At 42.7% G+C, this 23,401-nt stretch overlaps 2 long non-coding RNA genes across 2 annotated transcripts, besides 2 other annotated features; both read right to left on the bottom strand.

Moving 5' to 3' along the window:
- Window positions 1-806: 806 nt before the first annotated feature.
- Window positions 807-15,532, bottom strand: LOC124905261 (uncharacterized). The gene is made up of 2 exons (XR_007068415.1): window positions 15,154-15,532; window positions 807-2,954 (listed from the first exon to the last, which is right to left on the bottom strand). It is a non-coding gene; the product is annotated as an uncharacterized LOC124905261 (long non-coding RNA).
- LOC124905260 (uncharacterized) lies at window positions 7,963-11,343 on the bottom strand. Its single transcript, XR_007068414.1, has 2 exons — window positions 11,199-11,343; window positions 7,963-9,254 (listed from the first exon to the last, which is right to left on the bottom strand). It is a non-coding gene; the product is annotated as an uncharacterized LOC124905260 (long non-coding RNA).
- Window positions 10,287-10,787: an enhancer, noted in NCBI's record as "H3K27ac hESC enhancer chrX:24111108-24111608 (GRCh37/hg19 assembly coordinates)". NCBI's record gives its function as "activates a minimal SCP1, AML or CMV promoter by ChIP-STARR-seq in primed H9 embryonic stem cells {active_cell/tissue: H9 hESC(primed)}" and the evidence as "EXISTENCE:reporter gene assay evidence [ECO:0000049][PMID:30033119]".
- Window positions 23,210-23,389: an enhancer, noted in NCBI's record as "active region_29498". NCBI's record gives its function as "activates an Ori minimal core promoter by ATAC-STARR-seq in GM12878 lymphoblastoid cells {active_cell/tissue: GM12878}" and the evidence as "EXISTENCE:reporter gene assay evidence [ECO:0000049][PMID:35858748]".

The following is a 23,401-nucleotide window of genomic DNA, read 5'->3' as shown; positions in this document are numbered from 1 at the left end:
ATTTAAAAAAAAAAAAAAAAAAAAGTTGTGAAAACAAAAATAGGGGCCGGGCGCGGTGGCTCACGCCTGTTATTCCAGCACTTTGGGAGGCCGAGGCGGGAGGATCACTTGAGGTCAGAAGTTCGAGACCAGCTTGACCAACATGGAGAAACCCCATCTCTACTGAAAATACAAAACTTAGCCGGGTGTGGTGGCGCGTGCCTGTAATCTCAGCTACTCAGGAGGCTGAGGCAGGAGAATTGCTTGAACCCGGGAGGCGGAGGTTACGGTGAGTGGAGATCACACCATTGCACTCCAGCCTGGGCAACAAGAGCGAAACTCCGTCTCAAAAAAAAAAAAAAAAAAAAAGAAAAGAAAAATAGAAAAGACTGAAAATAAGTGAGTTATATATTCAATTCAGGATCTTAGACTGAAAAAAGTAAACCCCAAAGAAGTAGAAAGATGGGTATAAAGTCTATAAGAGCAGAAATTAATGACAGAAAGGAAAGAAAAAGGCAATCAGTGCAACCAAAATCTTGTTCTCTGACAAAACTACTAAAATAGAAAAAATTGTTGGGCACAGTGGCTGTCGCCTATAAACCCAGTTACTCAGGATCCTGAGGCAGGAGGATCACTTGAGCTCAGGAGTTCAAGGCTACAGTGAGTTATGATCCTGCCACTGTACCCTAGACTAGGCGACAGAGTTAGACACCATCTCTAATTTAAAAAAGAAAAAGGAAAAAATTCCAGCAAGTCTGATCATCAGAAAGGAGTGAGAAGAGAGAAAATAAACAATAATAGGAACAGAAAGGAAATATAACAAATGATAACAGTAGAGATTTTTAATAACATATGAGAACACTGTGAACAACCTTGTCCCAGGACATTTGAAAACCAAGACACGATGGAAAGATTTCAAGAAAAATACAGATTACCAAAATAGGAACTGATAATCAAGTATCTCTCACGATAAGAAATATGAAGCCCACACAGTTTTACTAAAAAGTCTTACCAAACCTTCAAAGGAAAGATAATCTCTCCATATTAAATAATTCTGAAATAACATATTTCAGAAAACAGAAAGAGTGGGAAATTTACTCAGCCCATATTACGAGCTAATACAAACTTAATATCAAATTCACAAAACTGTGTTAAAAAATAATGTTTTAGACCAATCTCACTTATTAACATGCATGCAAAACTTCTAAATAAAATAACAAGCCGGATGCAGTGGTGCGTGCCTGTAGTCCCAGCTAACTGGAGGCTGAGGCAGGAGGATCTCCTAAGCCCAGGAATTTGAGACCAGCCATTGCAACATAGCAAGACCCCAACTCTAATAAAAAAAAAAAAAAACAGTAACAAACCAAATTTTAGCAGACCTCATCTCTAATAAAAATAATATGCCAGGCACGGTGGCTCATGCCTATAATCCCAACAGTTTGGAAGCCTGAGGTAGGTGGATCTCTTGAGCCCAGGAGTTCAAGACCAGCCTGGGCAACATAGTGAGACCTCTCTACAAAACACTTTTTAAAATTAGCCAGCTGTTGTGGCGCACACCTCTAGTCCCAGCTACTTGGGAGGCTGAGGTGGAAGGATCGCTTCAGCCTGGGAGGTGGAGGTTGCAGTGAGCCGAAATTGTGCCACTGCACTCCAGCCTGGGTGACAGAGCAAGACCCTGTCTCAAGAAATAAATAAATAAAAATAAAAAGTAATGTGTTATGACTAAGTAGAATTTTATGAGGAATGCATGAAGAAGGGTTCAACATCGGAAAATCTAGCAAAATATTTTACAGATTAAAGGGAAAATATAATCATTTCGTGACATAAAGAAGAGACAAACACTCATTATTTAAAACAAAACAGGCCGGGCACGGTGGCTCATGCCTGTAATCCCAGTATTTTGGGAGGCCAAGGTGGGCGGATCACCTTGAGGTTAGGAGTTCAAGACCAGCCTGGCCAACATGGTGAAACCCTGTCTCTACTAAAAATACAAAAATTATCTGGGTGTGGTGGCACAAGCCTGCAGTCCCAGCTACTCGGGAGGCTGAGGCACAATAATCACTTGAACCTGGGAGGTGAAGGTTGCAGTGAGCCAAGATCGTGCCATTGCACTCCAGCCTGGGTGACAGAGTGAGACCCTGTCTCAAAAAATAATAATAATTAAGGCCGGGCACAGTGGCTCACACCTGTAATCCCAGCACTTTGGGAAGCCGAGGTGGACGGATCACCTGAGGTCAGAAGTTCGAGACTAGCCTGGCCAACGTGGTGAAACCCTGTCTCTACTAAAAATACAAAAAATTAGCCAGGCATGGTGATGGGTGCCTGTAATACCAGCTACTCAGGAGGCTGATGCGGGAGAATCACTTAAACCCGGGAGGCAGAGGTTGCAGTGAGTCGAGACCATGCCATAGCACTCCAGCCTGGCCAACAAGGGCAAAACTTAGTCTCAATAATAATAATTATTATTATTTAAATGAAAAACTTCTAAGAGAATTAGAATTAAAAGGAAATGTCCTTAATCTGGAAAAAGAAATCTATTTTAAAAACAACACTGTAGTAGAGGCAGGACTTCCAGTGAAGATGGAAGACAAATCCTCTTCCAGAAAAGTAACTATAAAGATGGACAAAATTGACAAAAACAATTGTACAATGATCTGAGAAGTGGTCATGCCTGAAAAATTGCTGAACTTTGTGCAAGAAGAGTGGGAGTCTGCAGTGTTCTTCCCTGGGGCCTCTCCCAGATTCCAGCTCCCTTAGCGTGAAAGTTCTGCTAAGGCTGGGTTGGCTGTGAGGTTGGCAGCTTTGCTGCCATAGTCAAAGTGGTCTCACTCACTTGGGAACAGTGGGTAATGTCCATGCACAGTAGCACAGTCAGAGGAAGTGACGATCTCAGCAAAGGGTGGGAGGGGATGATATACATCTCTCTTAGTCTGGGGTTGCCATTGTGGTTGCAGCAAGCACATTCCTGGCTGAGACTGTGTATACAGCAAAATCAGACAAAATGGTCTTTAAGATAAGAAATATTACTAAAGACAAAGAGGTACATTTCATGTTGATAAAAGGTTCAATACATCAGGAAGATATAACAATTATACACTGATATATACCTAATGAGAGCCTCAGAATACATGAAGCAAAAAGTGAAAGAATTCAAAGGGGAAAGAGACAATCAGCAATAATAGGCAAAGATTACAATACCTCATTCTTGATAACAGAGTGAAAAGAAAACTTTTTGTTTAAGAAGAAAACTTTTTTAAAAGTTTTTTTTAAAAAGACAGAGTTTCAATATGTTGCCCAGGCTGGTCTGAAGCTCCTGGACTCAAGTGATCCTCCCGCTTCAGCGTCCGGAGTAGCTGGGACTACAGGCATGTAACACTGTGCCTGGCATAGAGAGAAAATTTGAACAACACTATTGTAGTAGACATAGTCCCTCCAAAATATCCACATCCTAATCTCCACAACTTGTGAGTACGTTATCTTACATGATAAAAGAGACTTTGCAGATGTGATTAAGTTAAAGATCTCAAGGCGGAAGGATTGTCCTGGATTATCTGGGTGGGCCCAATGTCATCACAAGGGTCCTTAGAAGTGAAAGAGGGAGGCAGAAGAGTGAATGTCGCAGTGATGTAATGTGAGAACGACATAAGCAACCTATTGCTGACTTTGAAGATGGAAGGAGACCATAAGCCAAGGAATTCGGGGCAGCTTGTAGAAGCTGAAATTGCAAGAAAATCCCCTAGAGCACCCAGAAAAGAATGCAGCCTTGTCAACATCTTCCCCTCACCCAGTGAGACCTATTGCAAACTTCTGACCTCCAGAACTATATGATAACAAATATGTGTCGTTTTAAGCCACTAAGTTTGTGGCAACTTGTTACAACAGGAATAAAAAATGAATACTACTATCAACTGACTCCATCTAACTAACAATTTTAGAACAGTCCACTCATCCAGTTCAGAATACACATTCTTTTCAAGTAGACATGAAACATTCTCCAAGATAGAGCATATCAATAGGTATAAAACAAGCCTCAATAAATTTAAAAGAACTGGAATCATACAGAGTGTGTGGTACTCTGACCACAACGGAATCAAACTAGAAATCAAAATCTCGAAACATATGGGAACTAAACACACCGCTAAATAATCCACGAGTCAAAGAGGGAACTTCAAGGGAAACTTTTAAAACACAGTAAATTCAAAAAAGATAAATACTGTGCGGTTCTACTTAAATAAGGTATCTAAATTAGTCAAATTCATAGAAATAAAAAGCAGAATGGTGGTTCCCAGGAGCTAAGAGGAAGGGAGAAGGGTGAGTTGTTTAGTAGGTGTAGGGTTTCAGATCTGCAAGATGAAAAAGTTCCGGAGATCTGTTTCACAGCAACAAGCTGGATGATTAAAATAGCAAATGTTTATATGTTTTTTATCACAGATTAAAAGGTAAACACATTACATATTTTGGGAAAACTGGAAAGAAAAATTAATCACCTTTATCAAAATAAAAATGAATACAGTGAACTGCATGAAAGTGAAAATACATTATCAATTATTTGTAGAACATTAGCTGAAGCAGTATTAAGAGGGGAAGAAATATCTCAAAGCAATAATCTAAGCTCCCAATAGAAGAGCCTAGGAAAATAAGAGTAACATAAACCCAAATAAAGCAGAAAGGAGGAAATAATAAAGATAAGATCAGAAAAAAAAAATAGAGAAAAGTCAACAGAACAAAAAGCTGGGTTCTTGGGAAAAGACCAATAAAATTGACAAACCTCTAGCAAGATAGTTGAGAGAGAGAGGAAGGACATAAACTACCAATATCAGGAATGGAACAGGGGATATCACCGGAGACCTTGTAGACATCAAAGGATAAGGGGATACCACAAACAATTCTACACAGAAAAATTTGTCTTTTTTTCCCCCTTTTTGTGGAGAACAGGGTCTCGCTATATTGCCCAGGCAGGTCTCGAACTCCTAGGCGAAGCTATCCTCCTGCCTCTGCCTCCCTAAATTCTGGGATTTACAGGTGTGAGCCACTGCACTTGGCCAAAACTTTGACAACTAAGATGAAGTGCAGCAATTCACCTAAAGACACAAACTAATAATGCACCCAATATGAAATACATAATTTGAATAGTCCTATATATCTTAAAGAAATTGAATTCTTACTCTTAAAAATCCCATGTAAGAGGCTGGGCGCTCACGCCTGTAATCCCAGCACTTTGAGAGGCTGAGGCAGGCAGATCACCTGAGGTCAGGAGTTTGAGACCAGCCTGGCTAACAAGGCAAAACCCCATCTCTAAAAAAAATACAAAAATTAGCCAGGCGTGGTGGTACATGCCTATAATCCCAGCTACTTGGGAGGCTGAGGGAGGAGAATCACTTGAACCCAGGAGGCGGAGGTTGCAATAAGCCGAGATCACGCCACTGCACTCCAGCCTGGGAAAAAAAAATCCCATGTAAAATGCTGTAGCAGCTTTGGAAAATACTTTGGAAGTTTCTTAAAAAGTTAAAACATATAATTACCACGACCCAGCAATTTTGCTTCTAGGTGTATACCCAAAAGAATTGAAAACAGGTGTTCAAACAAAAACTTGTATAGGAATGTTCATTGCACCACTATTCACAATAGTCAAAACATGGAAACGACCCAAATGTTCAACAACAGATGAATAAATAAACAAAATATGGCATATTATTCAATTGCAAAAAGGAATGATGTACTCACACATGCTACAACATAGATGAACCTTGAAAACATTATGCTAAGTGAAAGAAACCAGACACAAAAGACCACATATTGTATGATTCCATTTATATGAATTACCCAGAGTTGGCAGGCAAATCCATATAAACAGAAAGCAGATTAGTGGTTGCCAATGGCTGAGGGGAATGAGAATGAGGAGTGACTACTCAATGAGTCTAGGGTTTCTTTTTGGGGTGATGAAAATGTGCTGGAATTAGATGGTGGTAATGGTTGTACAACATTGTGAAAGTACTTAATGTCATATTGTACACTTCACATGGCTAAAATTGGACATTTTATGTTATGTGTATTTTACCACAATAAATTTTTTTTTTAAAGAATTACACACCAGCCGGGCATGGTGGCTCATACCTGTAATCCCAGCACTTTAGGAGGCCAAGGTGGGTGGATAACCTGAGGTCAGGAGTTCGAGACCAGCTTGACCATGGTGAAACCCCATCTCTACTAAATACAAAAAATGAGCCAGGCATGGTGGCACATGCCTGTAATCCCAGCTAGTTGGGAGGCTGAGGCAGGAGCTTGAACCCCAGAGGCAGAGGTTGTAGTGAGCCGAGATTGCGCCATTGCACTCCAGCCTGGGCAAAAAGAGTGAGACTCCATCTCAAAAAAAAAGAAAGACAGAAAGAAAAAAAAAAAGGCTCATATACCATGACTAAGTAAGGTTTTTTCCATGGATGAAAATTTGGCTCAATATTCAAAAATCAGTCAAAGTAAGCCACCACATTAACAAGCTAAAGAAGAAAGATCACATAATCATATCGATTGATGCAGAAAAGGCATTTGACAAAATTCAACACCCATTCCTGATAAAAATTCTCTGAAAACTAGGAACAGAGGGTAACTTCTTCAACTTGATAAAGGATATCTACAAGAAAACTTGTAGCTAACATTATATTTACTGGTGAAAGGCTGAATGCTTTACCCCTGAGAACAGGAGCAAAGCAAGGATGTCCCCTCTCATTTACCTTCTTCAACATAATACTGGACATTCTAGCCAATGCAGCAAGATTAAAAAGGAAAAAAAAGGAAATAAAAGCCATCTTAATAGGAAAGAAATAAAACTGTCCTTATTTACAGATGACATAATTATCTATGTAGAAAATCCACAAAAGAACTCCTAGAACTAATAAGTGAGTCCAGCAAGGTCACAGGATATAATATAAACATACAAAATCAATTGCATTACTATATATTAGCAATGAACACATGGACAACAAGATTTAAAGTACAATACCTCTGCTGGGCACAGTGGCTCACACCTGTAATTCCAGCACTTTGGGAGGCCGAGGCAGGTGGATCACTTGAGGTCAGGAGTTCGAGACCAGCCTGGCCAAGATGGTGAAACCCTGCCTCTACTAAAAATACAAAAATTAGCCAGGCATGCTAGTGGGCGCCAGTAATCCCAGCTACTTGGGAGGCTGAGGCAGGAGAATCCCTTGAACCTGGGATGTGGAGGTTGCAGTGAGCTGAGATCACAGCACTGCTCTCCAGCTTGGGCACCAGAATGAGGGCCTGTCTCTCAAACAAAAAACAAAAAAAGAAGAAGAGGAGAGGAGAGGAGAGAAGAGAAGATTATCATTTATAATTGCTCAAAAAAATAAAACAGGTATAAATCTGACAAATCATGTATAGGACTTATATGCTGAAAACTACAAAACACCGATTAAAAAAATAAAAGAGGCTGGGCTTGGTGGCATGTCACGCCTGTAATCCCAGCACTTTGGGAGGCCGAGGCAGGCGGATCACGAGGTCAAGAGATTAAGATCATCCTGGCCAACATGGTGAAACCCCGTCTCTACTAAAAATACAAAAATTAGCTGGGCATGGTGGTGCGCACCTGTAGTCCCAGCTACTCGGGAGGCTGAGGCAGGAGAATCACTTGAACCCGGGAGGCAGAGGTTACAGTGAGCCAAGAACATGCCACTGCACTCCAGCCTGGCAACAGAACAAGACTCTGTCTCAAAAAAAATAAATAAAAGAAATAAATAAAAGAAGATCTAAACAAATGGAGAGATATTTCCATGGATTGGAAAACTCAACATAGAAAATATGTCAATTTTCTTCAAATTGATATACAGGTATAATACAATTCCTATCAAAATCCCAGCAAGATTTTTCTATTGATACCGACAAGCATATTCTAAAATTTACATGGAAAGAAAAAGGAACTAGATTAGCTAAATCAATTTTGAAAAAAATGAATAAAGGGGAAAGAATAAGTCAACCTGATTTCATGCTTTATTATACAGTAATCCAGATTGTGTGATACTGGCAAAGGGACAGACACAGATCAATGGAACAGATTAGAGAACCCAGAAACAGGCCCACATGAATATACTCAACTGATTTTTAACAAAAACCCTTTTCAATAACTGGTGCTACAGAAATTATACATTCATAGGCAAAAATGAGACTCCACCTAACTGCACACCTTATACAAAAACTAACTCAAAATGGGTCATGGTCTTAAATGTAAAACATAAAACTATAAAACTTCAGGGAAAAGAAAACTAGAAAATCTTCAGGATCTAGAGCCAGGCTAAGTGTTCTTAAATTTAACACCCATAGTATCATACAAGGAAAAGTGGGTAAGTTGAACTTCATTGAAATGTAAAATTTTGCTGTAATAGAACCTGTTTAGAGAATAAAAAGTCAGTCTACAGACTGGAAGGAAATATTTGCAAACCACATATTTGACAAAGAATTAGGATCTCAAAACTCAACAGTAAAAAAGTAAATAATCCAATTACAAAATGAGGAAAGGACATGAACAGTCATTTCATCAAAAAGGATATACAGATGGCAAATAAGCCCATGAAAAGACATTCAATATCATAGCCATTACAGAGATGCAAGTTAAAACCACAATGAGATATCACTGCACACCTGCACACCTATCAGAGTGGCCAAAATAAAAGGTAGTGATGGCTGGTGGGAATGTTAAAAAGTACAGCCACTCTGGAAAACAGTTTGGCAGTTTCTTTAAAAACTAAACATGTTTAAAAACTAAAACTACCTTTTCTGTGAGTTACCAGGAATAAACAAATAAATGCTAAAACTACCACACAACCCAGGAATTGTACTGCTTGACATTTATTCAGGAGAACTGAAAATTTAAGTTCAAAGACCTGTATATGAATATTTATAGCAGCTTTACTTTTTTATACATGTATTTAATCTTGCTTAATTAAGCTGAATACCGCAGCTTTATTGTAACAGGCAATAAATGGAAACAACCCAGAGGTCCTCCAATAGGTGAATCGTTAAACAAACTATAGTACATCCAGAATACTATTCAGGAAAAAAAAAAAAAAAGGGACAAGCCTGGGCAACATGGCAAGACCCCACCCCTACAAAACTTACAAAAAATTAACCGGGCACAGTGGCATGTGCCTATAGTTCCAGCTACTCTGGGGGGCTGAGGTGGAAGGACCGCTTGAGTCCCAGAGGTAGAGGCTGCGGTAAGCCGAGATTGTACCACTGCACTCCAGCCTGGGGGTCAGAGCAAGACCCTATTTCAAAAAAAAAAAAAAAAAGAACAAACTATTAAACTATTGATACACACAACAATTTGAATGATTCTTCAGAGAACTATGCTGAGTGAAAAAAAAAAGCCAATCCCAAAGTATAGTTCAATTTATATAACATTCTTGGAATGACAAAATTATAGAAATGGAGAACTGAATAGCGGTTGCTAGGAGTGAGGCAGGAAGAAAGCAGACGTGGCTACATGAGGACAACATGAGGGACCCTTGGTGATGCAACAGTCCTGTATCCTGACTGTATCAATGTTAGCATCCTGGTTGTGCTATGGTATTACAGTTTTGTAAGATGTTACCACTGGTGGACACTGTGTAGAAGGTACATGGGATCACTCCTTATGAGCGATACCCAACCTTTTTGGCCCCAGGGACCTGTCTTGTGGAAGCAAATTTTTTCACAGATAGGGGGTGGGTGGTTTCAGGATGAAACTATTCCACCTCAGATCATCAGGCATTAGTTAGATTCTCATAAGGAGTGTGCAACCTCGATTCCTCGCATGCGGAGAGTTCTCCCTTCTATGAGAATCTAATGCTCGCTCGCCTCCTGCTGTGCGGCTGGGTTCCTAACAGGCCAAGGACCGGTAAAGGTCCGCCACTCCGGGGCTGGGGATGCCTGCTGTATATGATTTCTTAGGACAGCATGTGAGTCCACAATTATCTCCTTTAAAACATTTGTTTATTTGTGTTTGTTTGTTTATTTTAGACGGAGTCTCCCTCTGTCGCCCAGGCTGGAGTGCAGTGGTGCGATCTCGGCTCACTGCAAGCTCCGCCTCCCGGGTTCACGCCATTCTCCCGCCTCAGCCTCCCAAGTAGCTGGGACTACAGGTGCCTGCCTACACGCCCGGCTAATTTTTTGTATTGTTAGTAGAGACGGGGTTTCACCGTGTTAGCCAGGATGGTCTCGATCTCCTGACCTCGTGATCTGCCCGCCTCGACCTCCCAAAGTGCTGGGATTACAGGCGTGAGCCACCGCGCCAGGCACTATTTATTTATTTATTTGAGACGGAGTCTCGCTCTGTTGTCCAGGCTGGAGTGCAGTGGCGAGATCTCGGCTCACTGCAACCTCTGCCCCCCGGGTTAAAGCGATTCTCCTGCCTCAGCCTCCCGAGCAGCTAGGACTACAGGCGCCCGCCCCCACGCCCGGCTAATTTTTTGTATTTTTGGTAGAGACGGGGTTTCACCGTGTTAGCAAGGATAGTCTCGATCTCTTGACCTCGTGATTCGCCTGCCTCGGCGTTCCAAAGTGCTGGGATTACAGGCATGAGCCACCGCGCCTGGCGGGGTGATTCAGAAATTATCTCTGCTGGGCCGGGAGCAGTGGCTCAAGCCTGTAATCCCAGCACTTTGGGAGGCCAAGGCAGGCGGATCACGAGGTCAGGAGATCGAGACCATCCTGGCTAACACGGTGAAACCCCGTCTCTACTAAAAATACAAAAAATTAGCCGGGCATGGTGGCGGGCGCCTGTAGTCCCAGCTACTCCGGAGGCTGAGGCAGGAGAATGGCGTGAACCCGGGAGGCGGAGCTTGCAGTGAGCAGAGATTGAGCCACTGAACTCCAGCCTGGGTGACAGAGCGAGACTCTGTCTCAAAAAAAAAAAAAAGTTTAATTTTAAAAATAGGATGGGATACAGAGAAAGTGGTGCTTAGAGAGAAATTTACATCTTTAAATGCCTGTATCAGAAAAGAAGGCATCATATCAATAACCTATACTTCTACCTTAACAAACTAGAAAACAGAAGAGCAAACTACACCAGAAGTGAATATAAGAAAGAAGTAATAAAGAATAATAAATAAAATGTTAAGTAATAAAGTAATAAAGGTGAGAACTGAAACACAGAAAACAGAAAAAAAAAATAGAGAAAATCAAATAAATGAAACGTTGGTTATTTGAAAAGATCCAGAAAATTGACAAACCTTTGCTAGATTGCCACATAAAAAAGCGAGAAGGCCGGGCACGGTGACTCACGCCTGTAATCCCAGCACGTTGGGAGGCTGAGGCGGGCAGATCACGAGGTCAGGAGATGGAGACCATCCTGGCTAACACGGTGAAACTCCGTCTCTACTGAAAATACAAAAAATTAGCCAGGCGATGGGGGGGCAGGCGCCTGTAGTCCCAGCTACTCGGGAGGCCCAGGCAGGGGAATCGCTTGAACCCGAGAGGTGGAGATTGCAGTGAGCCAAGATCGTGCCACTGCACTCCAGCCTGGCAACAGAGCGAGACTCTGCCATGTAAAAAAAAAAAAAAAAATCGAGAAGAGGGCCTGGCTTGGCAGCACACACCTATAGTCCCAGCTGCTTGGGAGGCTGAGGCAGCAGAATTGCTTGAACCCAGGAGTTTGAAGCTGCAGTGAGCTATGATCGTGCCATTGCACTCCAGCCTGACAGGGCGAGACCCTGACTCAGAAAAACAAACAAATCAACCAAAAAAGAGAGAAGACATAAATTACCAAAATCAGGAACAACATCTTACAGCACTACCTACACTTCACATAAAAGGATTAAAAGGCATTCTATGAATAATATTATGCCCACACATTAGAAAACTCAGATGACATGAATAAATTCCTGAAAATATACAAATTACCAAAATTAACTCAACAAGCAATAGAAAATCTAAATTATGCAGAATACATCATTTTATTACACTTTGCTTTATTGCACTTTGCAGATATTGCATTTTTTACAAATGAAAGGTTTGTGGCCACCCTGCGTCAAGCAAGTCTGTCAGTTCCAATGTTTTTAACAGTGTGTGCTCACTTAATGTCTCTGGGTCACATTTTTGGTAATTCTCAAAATATTCCAAGTCTTTTCATTATTATTATATCTGTTATGGTGATCTGTGATCAGTGATTTTTGATGTCACTACTGTAATTGTTTTGGAACACCAGGAACCATGTCTATGTACCCATAAACGTTATGTGTGTTCTGACTGTTCCACCCACTGGCCACCCCTCGCCCTCTCCTGGGGCCTCCTTATTTGCTGAAACACAATAATATTGAAAATAGGCCAATTAATCACCCAACGATGGCCTCTAAATGTTCAAGCGAAAGGTAGAGTCACGTATCTCTCACTTTAAATCAAAAGGTAGAAATGATTAAGCTTAGTGAGGAAGGCATGTGGAGAGCCAAGACAGGCCAAAAGCTAAGCTTCCTGTGCCAAACAGTCAGCCAAGTTGTGAATGCAAAGGAAAACTTCTTGAAGGAAATTAAAAGTGCTACTCCAGCAAACACATGAATGATAAGAAGCAAAACAGCCTTACTGCTAATAAGAAGAAAGTTTGAGTGGTCTGGATACAAGATCAAACCAGTTACAGCATTTCCTTAAATCAAACTCCATTCAATTCTATGAAAGTTGAGAGAAGTGAGGAAACTGCAGAAGGAAAGTTTGAAGCCAGCAGGGATTGGTTTATGAGGATTAAGGAAAGAGGCCATCTCCATAACAAAAAAGTACAAAGTGAACCAGCAAGTGCTGATTTAGAAGCTGCAGCAAGTTATCCAGAAGATCTAGCTAATTGATTAAGGTGGCTACACTAAACAACAGATTTATTTTCAATGTAGACAAAACAGTCTTCTATTTGAAGAAGATACCATCTAGGACGTTTATAGCTAGAGAGACGTCAATGCCTGGCTTCAAAGCTTCAAAGGACAGGCTGACTCTCTTGTCCTAGGGGCTAATGTATTAATAGCTGATGACGTTAACTTGAAGCCAAACTCTGGCCATTTCAAAAATCCTAGGGCCTGGGCCTGGGCCTGGTGTGGTGGCTTATGCTTATAAGCCCAGCACTTTGGGAGGCCAAGGTAGAAGGATCCCTTGAGGCCAGGAGTTTGGAGACCAACCCAGGTAACATAGCAAGACCCCAATTCTACAAAAAATTTAAAAAATTAGGCATGATGGAGCATGCCTGTAGCCTTAGCTACTCAGGAGGCTGAGGCAGGAAGATTCTCTGAGCCCAGGAGTTTCAGGCCGCAGTGAGGTATGATTATGCCACTGCACTCCAGCCTGGGCAACAGAGTAAGACCCTATCTAAAAAAAATAAAATAAAATCCTAGGGCCCTAAGGAATTGTGCTAAATCTACTCTGCCTGTGCTTTATAAATGGAATCACAAAACCTGGATGACAGCACATCTATTAGCAGCATGGTTTACTGAATATTTTAAGCCCAATGTCAAGACCTATTGCTTATTTTTTAAACATCCCTTTCAGCCAGGCGCCGTGGCTCATGCCTGTAATCCCAGCACTTTGGGAGGCCCAGGAGGGCGGATCACCTGAGGTCAGGAGTTCGAGACCAGCCTGGCCAACATGGTGAAAACCTGTCTCTACTAAAAATACAAAAATTAGCCCGGCATGATGGCGTGCACCTGTAGTCCCAACTACTCAGGATGCTGAGGCAGGAGAATCGTTTGAACTCAGGAGGCAGAGGTTGCAGTGAGCCGAGATCGGGCCACTGCACTCCAGCCTGGGTGACAGAGTGAAACTCTGTCTCAAAAAAAAAAAAATCCCTTTCAAAATATTACTGCTCACTGACAATGCACCTAGTCACCCAAGAGCCCTGATGAAGATGTACAAGGAGATTAATCTTTTTTTTTTCAGACAGCATCTCTCTCTGTCACCCAGGCTGGAGTTCAGTGGCACAATTACAGCTCATTACAGCCTTAATCTCCTGTGTTCAAGCCATCCTCTCCCCTCAGGCTCCTGAGTAGCTAGGACTACAGGCCCATGTCACCACACCTGGCTAATTTTTTAATTTTTTGTGGAGATGGAGCCTCCCTACGTTGCCCAGGCTGGTCTCAAACTCCTGGGCTCAAGAGAACCTCCCACCTCAGCCTCCCAAAATGCTGAGATTACAGGTGTGAGCCATCACACCCAGCCCTAATATTGTTTTCATGCCTGCTAACACAGCATCCATTCTGCAGCCCATGGTTCAGGGAGTAATTTCAACTTTCAAGTCTTATTATTTAAGAAATACATTTCGGCCAGGCGTGGTGGCTCACGCCTGTAATCCCAACATTTTGGGAGGCTGAAGCAGGTGGATCACGAGGTCAGGAGTTCGAGACCAGCCTGGCCAACATGGTGAAACCCCATCTCTACTAAAAATACAAAAATTAGCCAGGCACGGTGGTGGGGGCCTGTAATCCCAGCTACCCGGGAGACTGAGGCAGGAGAATTGCTTGAACCCGGGAGGCAGAGGTTGCAGTGAGCCAAGATTGCACCACAGCACTCCAGCTTGGGCAACAGAGCAAGCCTCTGTCTTGGGAAAAAAATAAAGAAATAAATTTCATGGCCTGGAGCGGTGACTCATGCCTGTAATCCCAGCACTTTGGAGGCTGAGGTGGGCAGATCACCTGAGGTCAAGAGTTTGAGACCAGCCTGGCCAACCTGGTGAAACCCGTCTCTACTAAAAGACATCCCATGTTTATGAATTAGAAGAATCAATATTGTCAAGATGGTACTTCCCTCCAAACTGGATCTAGAAATTTAGTGTGATCCCTAACAAAATTCCAGAAGGTTTGGGTTTTTTTTGTTGGGGGGGGGGGGATTTGACAAGCAGATCCTAAAAGTTATATGGGAATTCAAAGGATTTCAAATAGCCAAAACAGTTCTGAACAAAAAAAGAAGACAAAGCTGAAGGATTTACGTTACCCAATTCCAATTTCAAAACTCCCTGTAAAGTCACAATAATCAAGACAGTGTGGCATATAGATCAATAGAGTAGAATTAAAGAAATTAACTTTTATACTTATGTCAACTGATTTTCAATAAAGATGCCAAGATAATCCAGTGGGGAAAGAATAATCTTTTCAACAAATGCTTTGGGAGAATTAGACATCCATTTAAAAATAAAATTAGGCTGGGTGTGATGGCTCATACCTGTAATCCCAGCAGTTTGAGAGGCTGAGACGAGAGGATCACTTGAGGCCAGGAGTTTGAGATTAGCCTGAGCAACATAGTGAGACCACATCTCTACAAAATAAAACAAAATAAATAAAAATTTAAAAATGAACGTAGACCTTTACCCCACACCATTGAAAAATTAACTTACAATAGAACCAAAACTATAAAACTTCCAGAAGTTATATGCTAAGAAGCACATGAAAAGTGCTCAACATCATTAGTCATTAGGAAAATGCAAATTTAAACCACAACAAGATACCACTATATACCCACTAAAATGGTTATACAGGGCTGGGCGTGGTGGCTTACGCCTGTAATCCCAGCACTTTGGGAGGCCGAGGTGGGCAGATCACGAGGTCAGGAGATCGAGACCATCCTGGCTAACACGGTGAAACCCTGTTTCTACTAAAAATACAAAAAATTAGCCGGACGTGGTGGCAGGCACCTGTAATCCCAGCTACTCAGGAGGCTGAGGCAGGAGAATCGCTTGAACCAGGGAGGCAGAGGTTGCAGTGAGCCAAGATCGTGCCACTGCACTCCAGCCTAGGTGACAGAGCGAGACTCAGTCGCAAAAAAAAAAAAAAGGGTTATACAGGCCTGGCATGGTGGCTCACACCTGTAATCCCAGCACTTTGGGAGGCCAAGGCAGGCGGATCACTTGAGGTCAGGAGTTCGAGACCAGCCTGGCCAACATGGTGAAATCCCGTCTCTACTAAAAATACAAAAATTAGCCAGGCGGGGTGGCAGGCGACTGTAATCCCAGCTACTCCAGAGGCTGAAGCAGAATTGCTTGAACCCAGGAGGCGGAGGTAGCAGTGACCCGAGATTGTGCCACTGCACCCCAACACGGGCAACACAGTGAGACCCTGTCTCAAAAAAAAGGGGGGGTTATACAGTAATCCCCCCTTATCTCCAAGGTTTCAGTTACCTGTGGTAAACCAGTCTGAAAATATTAAATTGAAAATTCCAGAAATAAGCAATTCATAAATTTTGAATTGTGTGCTGTTCTGAATAGCATGATAAAATATCATGCCATCTCACTCTGTCTTGCCTAGGGTGTGAACCATCCCCTTGCGCAGCATATCCATGCTGTACATACTATCTGTGCGTTAATCACCTAGTAGCCATCTTGGTTATCAGATCAAAAAATATAGTATATATAGGATTTGGTACTAGCTACTGTTTCAGGGATTCACTGAGGGTCTTGGGATATATGCCCTGCAGGTAAGGGGGGGCAACTGTAATAAAAAAAATTACCAAGTATTAGAGAGGATATTGAGAAACTGGAACCCTGCTCTATTGTTGATAGGAATATAAAATGGCACAGCCTGGCTGGGCATGGTAACTCATGCCTGTAATCCCAGCACTTTGGGAGGCTGAGGTGGGTGGATCATTTGAGGTCAGGAGTTTGAGACCAGCTTGGCCAACACGGTGAAACCCCGCCTCTGCTAAAAATACAAAAATTCGCTGGGCATGGTGGCGGACACCTGTAGTCCCAGCTACTCAGGAGGCTGAGGCAGGAGAATCGCTTGAACCCGGGAGGCAGAGTTTGCAGTAAGCCAAGATCATGCCACTGCACTGCAGCCTGGGTGACAGAACAAGACTCCGTCCCAAATAAAATAAAATAAAATAAAATAGCACAGCCACTTTGCAAACATTTAGCAGTTTCTAAGTTTAACATAGACTTACCACACAACCCAACATTTCACTCCTAGGAATCTACTTAAAGCAATTAAAACATACAGCCGAGCACAGTGGCTCATGCCTGTAATCCCAGCACTTTGGGAGGCCAAGGCAGGCAGATCACCTGAGGTCGGAAGTCCAAGACCAACCTGGCCAGCATGGTGAAACTTCGTCTCTACTAAAAATACAGAAATTTGTTGGGCATGGTGGCATATGTCCGTAATCCCAGCTACTTGGGAGGCTGAGGCAGGAGAATCACTTGAACCCGGGAGGCGGAGGTTGCAGTGAGCCAATATCGCACCACTGCACTCCAGCCCAGGTGACAGAGTCAGACTGTCTCAAAAAAAAAAAATTTTTTTTTAAGTGGAAGAAGCCAGATGCCAAAAGACGACATATTGTAGAAGGATAAGGGAATTCTCTGGGGTGATGGAAATGTTCTGTATCTTGTTTAGGCTGCAGGATACAAGGGTGTATACAATTATCAAAACTCATCGGCTGGGCACAGTGGCTCACGCCTGTAATCCCAGCACTTTGGGAGGCCGAGGCGGGTGGATCACAAGGTCAGGAGTTCAAGACCAGCTTGGCCCAAATGGTGAAACCCTGTCTCTACTAAATATATACAAAAAAATAGCCGGGTGTGGTGGCAGGCGCTGTAATCCCAGCTACTCGGGAGGCTGAGGCAGGAGAATTGATTGAACCTGGGAGGTGGAGGTTGCGGTGAGCCGATATCGTGCCACTGCACTCCAGCCTGGGTTACAGAATAAGACTCCATCTCAAAAAAAAAACAAAAAACAAAAAACAAAAAAAAACTCATCAAAATGAATATTCAAGATTTGTGCATTTTACTGAATATAAATTATACCTAAATAAATAACATCTTATTTGCTCAACTAAGGAAGTACCGAGTGGGAAATGTTTAGCCTTAAATGTTTATACTAGAAAAAGGGCTAAAAGAAAATTAATGGGCTGGGTGCAGCAGCTCCCGCCTGTAATCCCAACACTTTGGGAAGCCAAGGTGGGTGGATCACTTGAGCCCAAGAGTTCGAGACCAGCCTGGGTAACATGGCAAAACCCCGTCTCTACAAGAAATACAAAACTTAGCCGGGCATGGTGGCATGCACCCGTAGTCCCAGCTACTTGGGAGGCTGAGGTGGGAGGATCACCTGGGTCTGGAAAGGTTGAGGCTGCAGTGAGCCTTGGTTGTGCCACTGCACTCCAGCCTGGGCAAAAGAGGGAGACCTGTGTCGTGGGGGGGGGGTGGAAATAAAATAAAATTAGTGAGTTAAGTACTTACAAAAAAAATAGCATGATAAACCCAAGTAAAGTAGAAGAAAGGAAATGAGAAAGTTAAGAAATCAGTGAAGTTAAAAGTACAATGGAGAGGCTTTAACAAATTCAAAAACTGGTTGTCTTTGCTTTCTGTTGCTGCAACAGAATACCACGGTCTGGGTAATTTATAAAGAAAAGAGACTTATTTGGCTCACGGTTCTGGAGGCTAGAAAGTCCAAAAGCATGGTGTCAACATCTAGTGAGGGTCTTCTTGCCTCATGGTAACAGGAACCCACTCTCGTGATAACCAACCCACGCTCGAGATGAAGGCATTAATCCATTTATGAGGGCAGAACCCTCATGACCTAATCACCTCTTAAAGGTCCCACCTCTCAACACTGTTACAATGATGAAATTTCAACATGAGTTTTGGAAGGAACATTCAAGCCACAGCATTGATCTTTTGAAAAGACTAATAAAATTTTTGAAAAATAAGCCATGAGCGCCTGTAATCCCAGCACTCTGGGAGGCTGAGGCAGGCAGATCAGGAGAGGTCAGGAGATCGAGATCATCCTGGCTAACACAGTGAAACCCCGTCTCTACTAAAAATACAAAAAATTAGCCGGGCGTGGTTGTAGGCGCCTGTAGTCCCAGCTACTTGGGAGGCTGAAGCAGGAGAATGGCATGAACCCGGGAGGCGGAGCTTGCAGTGAGCTCAGATCGCGCCACTGCACTCCAGCCTGGGCGAAAGAGCGAGACACCGTCTCAAAAGAAAAAAAGAAAAATAGGCCATGAGTCATATTTGATGAGAAACTTTGAGACAAGCAAAAGACTGTTGGGTTATGCTTTTGAGAATGCAAACCACTGGACTAATGGGTTTTGTTGTAATTGTGCAACCCTTTGGAGAAAGTTGAAGATGATTACAAATCATGACTTAGGAGATTCTGCAATGGACAAAGGTCTTGTTTAAGTTTGAGCTATACATATTCTGCATCTTACTATCACTAGTGTGTTCTTGGCTTGTTGAAGCTCCTACTGTGACATTCTTGGTATACTTTTTTTTTTTTTTTTTTTTTTGAGACGGAGTCTCGCTCTGTCACCCAGTCTGGAGTGCAGTGATGCGATCTTGGCTCACTGCAACCTCCACCTCCCAGGTTCAAGCAATTCTCCTGCCTCAGCCTCCCAAGCTGGGACTACAGGCATGCGCCACCATGCCCGGCTAATTTTTGTATTTAGCAGAGATGGGGTTTCATCATGTTGGCCAGGCTGATCTCGAACTCCTGACCTCAAATGATCCACCCACTTCGGCCTCCCAAAGTGCTGGGTTTACAGGCATGAGCCACCATGCCCAGCCCGGTATACATATTATTATTATTATATTTATTTTTCTTGAAATGGGAGTCTCTCTCTGTTGCCCAGGCTAGAGTGCAGTGGCACAATCTCTGCTCACTGCAACTTCCACCTCCCAGATTCAAGTGATTCTCCTGCCTCAGCCTCCTGAGTAGCTGGAATTACAGGTGCGCACCACCACACCCGGCTAATTTTTGTATTTTTAGTAGAGATGGGGTTTCACTATGTTGGTAAGGCTTGTCTCGAACTCCCGACCTCATGATCTGCCCGCCTCGGCCTCCCAAAGTGCTGGGATTACAGGCGTGAGCCACCGCACCCGGCCCTATCCCAGTATACGTATTATTTTTAAAGGATTTATTGTTATCTCTTTTGGAGTATAATACTCAAAGTTATGATTCCTGCTAAGTTTTGTTTTGTTTTTTGTTTTTTTTTTGGGACGGAATTTCCCTCTTGTCACCCAGGCTGGAGTGCAATGGCGCAATCTCGGCTCACTGCAACCTCCGCCTCCCAGGTTCAAGCGATTCTCCTGCCTCAACCTCCTGAGTAGCTGGGATCACAGGCGCCCACCACCACACCAGGCTAATTTTTGTATTTTTAGTAGAGACGGGGTTTCACCATGTTGGCCTGCTGGTCTCGAACTCCTGACCTCAGGTGATCCACCTGCCTCAGCCTCCCAAAGCGTTGGGATTACAGGCGTGAGCCACCGCGCCTGGCCTCCTGCTAAGTCTTTTTTTTTTTTTTTTTTGTTTTTGAGACGGAGTCTCGCTCTGTCGCCCAGGCTGGAGTGCAGTGGCGCGATCTCGGCTCACTGCAAGCTCCGCCTCCCGGGTTCACGCCATTCTCCTGCCTCAGCCTCCCGAGTAGCTGGGACTACAGGCGCCCGCTACCACGCCCGGCTAATTTTTTGTATTTTTAGTAGAGACGGGGTTTCACCGTGTTAGCCAGAATGGTCTCGATCTCCTGACCTCGTGATCCGCCCGCCTCGGCCTCCCAAAGTGCTGGGATTACAGGCGTGAGCCACCGCGCCCGGCCCTGCTAAGTCTTTTTATATGTTTCTTGTGGAGAATATATTATTCAACATTCACTTGTAATAGGAAATTATATTTAGGCCAGGAACAGTGGCTCGCGCCTGTAATCCCAGCACTTTGGGGGGCAGAGGCAGGCAGATCACCTGAGGTCAGGTGTTTGAGACCAGCCTGGCCAACATGGTGAAATCCCATATCTACTAAAAATACAAAAATTAGCTGGGCGTGGTGGTGCCTGCCTGTAGTCCCAGCTACTCGGGAGACTGAGGCACAAGAATCACTTGAACCCAGGAGGCAGAGGTTGCAGTGAGCCAAGATCGCGCTACTGCACTCCAGCCTGGGTGACCGAGATTCCGTCTCAAAAAAAAAAAAAAAAAAAAAGTAAAAGGAATTTATATTTGATAGAAAGCATGTGTTGTAAGAAAATAAACTGTAATGGACACACCAGCTCAAAAGTGATTAACTGTAACGTATAATTTCACTACTATAGAAGTGGCATAAATCACTTGTTAGTGTTAGATTTCTCCCTATGAGGCTGTATGAGAAAATAAAGTTGTGATTCGAACAGATTCAGTGCTAATACTGATGTGGGGCATGTTCCTTTTACATTCCTCTTCCTTCTTGTTGAGTCAGCAATAATCAATACTGCATTTTGAATTCTCAAATCACCTTAAGTCAAAAATTATTTCCTCTCAGGGATTCCCATGAAATATTTTTGGGACCAGTATTTTCACTTTTTAATTTTAACCAGGCTGAATCAAAGGTAGCTCATAGCTTTACTTCATAATAGAATGAATTCACCACAAAATATTTTAAATCATTCCCTTTGACTAACATTTAGGTGCCTTGCAATAGTTGCTATAATAAACAATGCTGGGGCCCAGCCCTGGTGGCTCGCACCTGTAATCCCAATGCTTTGGGAGGCTGAGGTGGGACGATCACTTGAAGCCAAGAGTTCCAGACCAGCCTGGGCAACATAGGAATAAAATAAAATAAGTAAACAATGCTGGAATGAACATCCTTCTACATATATCTTTATTAACACGAGCAAATATTTATGATTAATTCTCAGATATGAATTCTCGGTCAAAAGGTGAGACATTTTAAAACTTGATAGATATAACGGTAATATATCCTCGCCTACATTGATTATAAATATTTTTTATATTTTTCGAGATAGGTTCTTGCTGTCACTCAGGCTGGGCTGGAGTGCAATGGCGCCATCTAGGCTCGCTGCAAGCGCCACTCCCGGGCTCAAGCCATCCTCCCACCTCAGCCTCCCGAGTAGCTGGGACTACAGGCAGGGTCACCATGCCTGGCTTTTTTTTTTTTTTTGAAATGGGGTTTTGCCATGTTGCCACTGCTGGTCTGGAAGTCATGGCCTGAAGCCATCCACCCTCCTCAGCCTCCCAAAGTGCTGCGATTACAGGCACGAGGCACCACTCCCATCTTTTTTTTTTTTTTTTTTTTGAGACACGGGAGTCTTGCTCTGTCACCCAGGCTGAAGTGCAGTGGCGCCACCTGGGCTCACTGCAACCTCTGTCTCCTGGGTTCAAGCGATCCTCCCACCTCAGTCTTCTGAGTTGCTGGGATTACAGGCACACGCCACAACACCCAGCCAATTTTTTTTTTTTTTTTTTTTTTTTTGAGACCGGGTTTCCCTATGTTGCCCAGGCTAGTTTCAAACTCCTGGGCTCTACCTCGTCTTGTACTACAGTGAGACCCTGTCTCAATAAAAAGAAATTTTTTTTAAGCCTTTCTGGATTAGATTTAATTTGTAGAAAAAAATGGCATGGTCATCTGTACATTGATCCCATCCAATTATATTTTCCTTATAATTCATCTCTTCTTTAGCAAAATGTGTTTTATTCATACATATCTTGAGTATTTCTGTTAAATGTATACCTGGGTAGTTTACATCTATCACATTTTGATTTGTGTGTGTGTGTGGTGAATAAGGAAACTAATATTAAATAATTTTGCATATTTATCTTGAACTTTGTCACCTTACTGAACTCTCCTAGCAGTTTTTCAGTTTCTGGGATGTATTTTCTAGGTGGACTATCTTACACTTTGTGAATAACATTCAATCTCTCCATGAGGTAAACTATCTTACATTCAGTCTCTTCCATTCCCAGTACTTGTATCATTTGCTAAGCCCCAGAGAACAATGTTGTAGAATTGTAGTAGTAGCTGACATTCTTCAGGCCTTAATGAGAACAGAGGTGATGAATTCTGATATAATGCAAATTATTGCTTCTCACGCTCTGAACTGCATCCTAGTTATTTCATCAACCTCACAATAACCCATTTTACCCAAATGAAATATTTACCTCACCTATCACATTATGGCAAGATGTTACCGTGCTCCAATGTCTCATTACTGAAAATGATTCTGAAAGTTCTTTGCTTAGTACTCATTGTTTCCTTTACACCATCTCGCTTTTAAAAATCACTTTGAACTGTATCAAACACATCTCCAAGGTACTTTTTCTTTCAACCTATAATACATCCCTGTATACACATTATTTTTAATACACTGCTGGATTTATTACATTTTAGTATGGACTTTGTATCTTTTTGTGAGAATGGTCTCTGGTTTTTCTGGTGTTTTGTTGTTGTTTTTGTGTAGTATTCTCTCCCAAGTTTGAGTAGTGAGAACAGAATACTTTTTTTTTTTTTGAGTCTCGCTGCAACGCCCAGGCTGGAGTGCAGTGGCACAATCTCGGCTCACTGCAACCTCCACTTCCCAGGTTCAAGCAATTCTCCTGCCTCAGCTTCCTAAATAGCTGAGACTACAGGCATGTGTCACCACAACCGGCTGAGTTTTCTATTTTTAGTAGAGACGGGGTTTTACCATATTGGCCAGGCTGGTCTCAAAACTCCTGATCTCAAGT

Source organism: Homo sapiens, chromosome X (assembly GCF_000001405.40).
Source record: "Homo sapiens chromosome X, GRCh38.p14 Primary Assembly".
In the NCBI taxonomy this organism is placed as follows: domain Eukaryota; kingdom Metazoa; phylum Chordata; class Mammalia; order Primates; family Hominidae; genus Homo; species Homo sapiens.
This window is presented reverse-complemented; position numbering and strand designations above follow the sequence as displayed.